Genomic DNA, 6,266 nt, shown 5'->3' with positions numbered 1-6,266 from the left:
TGCAAGTGTAAGAGGCTTGACCTGCTCCACCGATAGCCATATCACACCTCAGAGCCCAGCCCTGGATCTCCCAGGAAAGGGAGCTTCATCACAAGCCTTTCCTCCAGTCTGCCTCCACAGGTAGGAGTTCTTGTCTGAAACTAGGGAAGTTTCACTGTGGCAGGATTCATAAGTCTTAGAAGAAAAGGTGAAAATGATGGAACAAGAAAAAAAAAAGGAAAGAGATTGGAGAATAAAGAGACGTCCAGACAGAGAAGGAACCGGCCCTGGAATTGTATAGCCTTAAAGGCCAAGGCAAAGTGACTCTCAGCCCAGCCACTATTCAACCTCCCTTGGCTGAGTTTCTGCAAGTAGCCGAGAGCTTGGCCCGGGCCATGTATATCTATGAATACATGTATATGGCTACCTATCTATACTTATCTAGAGAAAAAGAAATCTTAAAGAAATTAATCTGGGTAAAAAATTTTCTTTCTGAAACTTGTTTATTTTACCTATATATTGTCTACAAAATGTGATTTTAATTTCAAAAGGAAACATTTTTTATTATTATTTGATGCATCTGAATAGGTGCTAAATAGATCCTGCTGAGATAAGCTGCCAATAAAGCCATCAGCCATACCAAACACCTATCAAGTGCTTCACTCCTAAGTAATTCACCAAGTGCGTTCTAAAGTGACTACCTTTGACCAGCTCCAAGTCCTCTTCCAGGCTCATCTCACCATGGCTCCAGCTCTAGGAGCAGCTCAGATGCCTGAGCTGATCCCACCAGTGTTACTACCTATGGTCATGGTATTGCAGTGGTCAGTGGTGGGAGCTTCCGTTGCTGCCACAGGTCAGTAGGACTGCTGCTGATCTGGGCCTGGCAGTCTCAGAAGAAGAGCATTAGGTGAACCAACAATTCAAGAGATAAGTACTTTCCCTGCTCTGAAGGTATCACAGCCCATTCTCCTCAACCTTTTGGGCTGTGTCTGGAAAAGGCATTTGGTTCAGACAAGGATTAAGTCTGCAGGAGGCCCAGATTTCACTAACAGCATGCTTCCCTCAAGGTGATCCCCTCCTGTCCTTCTCTCACACCCATTCCACCAGCAAAGTCAGTGCAGCAGTGCGAAGAGATCTATGTTTCCTTTACGCTCTTCTCATTCACAACACCCAGTGTGGCATTTCAAAAGTGCCCATTCACATCCTTTGCAATTGTCTCTTTTTATTATTATATCCTCTGAGGGAAGGAAGTAGGAGTACTTAAGGATATAAGGGCAAAGTTACTTCCAGCATAGCTCTGACACTAAAACTTAACAAAGCCTTGAGGACCCCATTCAGCATGTTCCTAAAAACATGCTTCTGGCACACCTGTCCTAGCCTTTCACCAGCTTTCCACCAGGAATTCCCACTCTTCCATTCATAATTCTGCAGAACTATTTTTTTTTTTTGAGACAGTCTTGCTCTGTCACCCAAGCTGGAGTGCAGTTGCGCGATCTCAGCTCATTGCAACCTCTGCCTCCCCAGCTCAAGCGATTCTCCTGCCTCAGCCTCCCGAGTAGCTAGGATTACAGATGCCCACCACCACACCCAGCTAATTTTTGTATTTTTAGTAGAGACGGGGTTTTGCCGTGTTGAACAGGCTGGTCTTGAACTCCTGACCTCATAGAACTCTTAAAAGAATGCATGGTATTGCAGTTTGTTCAAAGTGGAGTGATAGGCAAAGGGGAAGAAGGAACTAATATCCTCTAGCAGTGTATTTTGTACCAAAGAACAAGCATCTTCAGGCTTTCATATACTCTGATCAAAATAACATTTTGCTTAAAATTACAATATAATTTAAATTCATGATTATTAGAAACTTAATATTGTCTCAATTGTGATTATTTTCCTTGGAAGAATATATAGTATAATAAAGATTATTTTAAAATTCATTACAGTGGTTTTTATTTAGAGGCTATGGCATATTGTATTGTATTATTAGAGATGAATTCACTGATAAATTTATCACTGATATAACTAAAACCAAATAGTAAATAATATTCCATTTTTATGAATTCATCATATACAAACTTCAAGCATTATCACAGGTATTCATTAAGTGAAATGCATACAACCCCATCAACCTCATCATTATCAACAAATTCAAAGAAATTTTAATGAATTACTAACATAATATATAGGATTAAATTCAGCCTTGCACATTTCACAGACAGCCAAAAACGGATGCCCCTTTTTTCCCATTAAGTGTGATTTCTGTTGATCCCACAGATGGAGGTCACATTTTTATACCATCTGCACCTCCCTCCACTCTACCCCTCTGCCCCCACAGTGCCCAATGCCACCTTTAAGATGCCATGATATTCCCTGAAGACACTACCTCTCAAGCCATGGCCCCAGCTCCATTCTTCCACCCCTTACTCAACCCAGGTCCAGTGAGCTCAGTGCAGCCAACATCTCAGGACACAGGGGCTGATTCCATCACCTATGTAAAGGAATCCACAAAGCAATGGGGACTGACACCCAAAGGCAGTGACCCCAGCCTGCCATGTTTGTGCACACTTGTGCTGCGTCGCTTAGCACATAGGATGTGATTTAATTGCTCAGTTGTCCATCTGGCCTTCTGAAAAGCTGTGAGCTAGTCAAGGGGAGAAATGTGTTCTGTTTGTCCCCATATTACCAGGCCCCACAAAGGACGTACCCTGGCTTCAGAGCATGTGAGCTGAATGAAGAAAAAAAAGTGGAACAGCAGCCAGAGGGCCTGAACGGTGGATAATTGGACCGTCATCGAGATTTCCTGCTTCCCTTTTGTCATTCCTCAAAATATGCGCCTTAAGAATATGCTGAAAGCCTGGTCCTTGGGAGTGTGTGGTGCTTCCCCTCCCTTTGGGGAGCAAAGGAGGACACATAGTTGGGCTGTGCATCATAATACCCAGGATAAAAGGGCTGAGGCCCTGGGTTCCTCAGTCCACAATCACCTCAGGAAGAACCTTCTCCTGCCTCCACCAAACCAGGTGAGCGTCCAGCTGGCGAGAGGACCTGGGCTGAAAGGGCTGCGCAAACACGTCTGTGCTTCAACAAGGAGAGGGGAGGAGGCAGACACGGTGGAGGCGGCAGAGAGGCTGTGGTGGGTGGCCGGCTGGGACTGGGATGGGAGATGGGCGGGATAGTGAGGAAGACAGACAAGTCTGCGAGCCACTTCAGGGGCTCCGCGATGCTGCGACCTCTGAACCCCCTTTTCCTCATGTGCGCAGAGATGCGTTGCCTCCTCACACCCTGCGCTCACAGGCGTCCAGAGAGACGCCACCCTGGAGGGTCATGGGCGTTGTGTTCACGGGACGCCTGCAGGGGGAGCTGTTCGCATCGGGTCCGGAGGTGTGACAGGCCCCGCAGGGCGTGCGCAGGAGCCCCAGAGGCCCACCCAGGAGTGTCAGCTGCCTCCCAGGCAGGGGAGAGGGCCGGAGGAAGGGGCAGTATCAGGCCGGTTTAACTTCAGATCCGTTTGCATTCCCCTTCCCCAGGTCTTAGCTGGAGGGCAGACTGAGTTTAGGGGAAGGGATCCACAATTAAACCAAAGCATGAGGAGGCCCTGGCCTGAAACCTGCATTGACACGTATTTTGCTTTGCTTTTATTTTGCCCAGGCTCCCTGACCTCCTGCCTAGATGTCCTGCCAGCAGAACCAGCAGCAGTGCCAGCCTCCGCCCAAGTGCCCTGCAAAGAGCCCAGCACAGTGTCTGCCTCCAGCTTCCTCCAGCTGTGCCCCAAGCTCTGGGGGCTGTGGGCCCAGCTCCGAGCGCAGCTGCTGCCTGAGTCACCACAGATGCCGCAGGTCTCACCGTTGCCGTTGCCAGAGCTCCAACTCCTGTGACAGGGGAAGTGGTCAGCAAGGCGGGAGCTCCAGCTGTGGCCACAGTTCTGCGGGCTGCTGCTGACCTGAGCCACGAGATTAAGTAAAAATATTTGAGAAAAGAAAGTGCCAAAATGACTGGAACCAGCCCTAGCCTGGTGCTTCTTTGCTCCTGTCTCCTCTTTCCTACTGAGATGTTCCTTGATGAGTTTCAAGTACTCCCCCAGGGGATTTATCCTGCTGGTCTTAGTGTTTTCCCTCCTTCTTTAATATCCCTGTGCTGTGAAGAATAAAGCTGTGCTTTCTCGTTGCAAGCTCTGTCCAGTGCGTTCCCGTCTTTGCCTTACAGGGGCTGCCCCACATTGGGTACATAGGCCTATCTTAGGAACAGACACAAGTGGGTCATACACCCCTCAACTCACAAAACCCTTTTAGGGGGGTTGTATATTAGTGTGGGAATGAGGTGAGCAGTCTTTCACAAGGTCAAGGACAGAAGCATGAGTTGGAAATAAACACAGAGCTCTGGAAAACAAAGGGAATGAGCTTACTGGGCCCGTTCAGATCCTTCCGAAAACACTTTGGTAGCTCAGCCCTAGATGGCAGAGAAGAAGAGAAGCTCCAGATGGGAGCAGGTCCTTGGTCCTCTGGTTCCTCCAACTCTGATACTCTGTAGTCTTCATGACCCAGGACCACAGCAGCCCCCAGAGCTGTGGCAGCAACTGGAGCCTCCAGAATGCTCTGTTGGGCATGTCAGTGGGATCTGTGGGCCCATGGTGACTCCGGTAGCAGCTTCCTGCAGAGCTGGAACCACAACAGAAATAGACTGGCAGCAAACAACCAAAAGGATACTTGAGGGTTAGGCACTTGGGAGGGGGCTGACAGTGCTGTTAGTTTTTCCTTTCAGGACATCTCAGCTCAGTGATCCCTGGAAGAAATGAAAAAGTAAATCATTGTTTTCTATCTATCTATCTATCTATCTATCTATCTATCTATCTATCTATCTATCTATCTCTATCTACCTATCTGTCTCCCCTTGTCCCTCACCGTCTTTCTCAGACCCTGACCCTATGACCCTAAGCTCACGTTTTTGCTAACCTAAGGGCAGCAGGGAAACAGGGCCTTGGGCAGGGATGAATTGGCTCAGAATGTTTGCTGATCAAGGTATTTTCTCCTCCTACTTTGATTTAGAATCAGAAAAAAAGGAGATGGGACATGGAGAGTGATGATAGTGATGGACTCTACTCCAAGTAACAGCTCTTCAAACTCTAGCCCCTCAGTAGGAAATTCAATAATTATTCAGTAGATGCCCAGATGTTTTCTGATAGAAGGGAACCAGGAAGTCCCTGTAACACCCAAATATCTGGCCTTGATTATCAAGACTGTTGAAAACTAATTGTCTATACTATTTTATTCATTAATTAATTCATTCAAACAACAGGAATTGAGGACACAGTTCAGATATATGTTGACACAAAGGACTCAGAAATGTGTGAAATATGATTCCCATCCTTGAGATGCCGACTGACAAGTCAGCAATCCACTTATGAGCTGGAATGATATGGACTGTTACATAAGTGTGTGGGAAGTCCATGGGACTTATCCTTTGGATGGTAACCCCCTGTTTCCCTGACAAGAGTGAAGTGTCCAGACATTGTCACTAGTATCATTTGTGGGTGTTGGGTGAGGTTTCTGGCCTGCAAAATGACCTTTGATGGTCCTGTGATGGCCTAGCTAAAGTGACTAAGAGGAACTAATGGGACCCAAGAGCCAGGAGTCCCTGGGCAGAAGGTTTCCTGGCAGAGGGAGGAAATGAAGCTGCCCTTTGAGAGAAGTTGGATCTGAAAGGGAAGCAAGCTAAGATAATGGGAGGCAGAATAGTGTGCAGGCCAAGAACATGGGCACTGGAGTCGGACATTCCCATTGCCTCCCCTCTTTTAAATACCAGGAGAAACCTTGAAGAGTCTAGGGGAAAACAAAGCTAAAAAATAAAGGCAAAATGAACCAGAAATGCTGGAATTAAAAGCTGAGCCACCAATTAGCAGTCTAGATCTGTGACATGACAGACTTGCAAATCTAGCAGTCTAGATCTGTGACATGACAGACATTGCTTCAGCATTTACTTGACTGCACTATTGATCCAAGAGATAGGAATGGTTCAGACACAGGGATGCTCATATCACATTGGCCAGAACGCTTTAGGAAAAAGGAGGGATTGAATGATAATTGATGGGAGAAAAAATAAAGTGATGGACAATAGTGGTAATTAAGTTTATTTCACCAGTGTTTCTGCTGAATATAAATGACAGATGTATACTATTTTCCCATTGCATTTAATTTTTTTTAGGTGGAGTCTCACTCTGTCTCCAGGGCTGGAGTGCAGTGGCATGATATCTGCTCACTGCAACCTCCCAGGTTCAAGTGATTCTCCTGCCTCAGCCTCCT

The 6,266-nt window shown here is 46.7% G+C and overlaps 1 protein-coding gene across 1 annotated transcript; it reads left to right on the top strand.

Moving 5' to 3' along the window:
- Positions 1-3,639: 3,639 nt before the first annotated feature.
- Positions 3,640-3,909, top strand: LCE3A (late cornified envelope 3A). The gene has a single exon (NM_178431.1). The coding sequence runs from the start codon at positions 3,640-3,642 to the stop codon at positions 3,907-3,909; it is 270 nt and encodes an 89-aa protein (NP_848518.1).
- Positions 3,910-6,266: the final 2,357 nt, after the last annotated feature.

The sequence above is a fragment of the Homo sapiens genome, chromosome 1 (genome assembly GCF_000001405.40).
Source record: "Homo sapiens chromosome 1, GRCh38.p14 Primary Assembly".
NCBI classification, from domain to species: Eukaryota; Metazoa; Chordata; class Mammalia; order Primates; family Hominidae; genus Homo; species Homo sapiens.
Note: the sequence above shows the minus strand (reverse complement) of the source record. Positions and strands in the feature narration are given on the sequence as shown.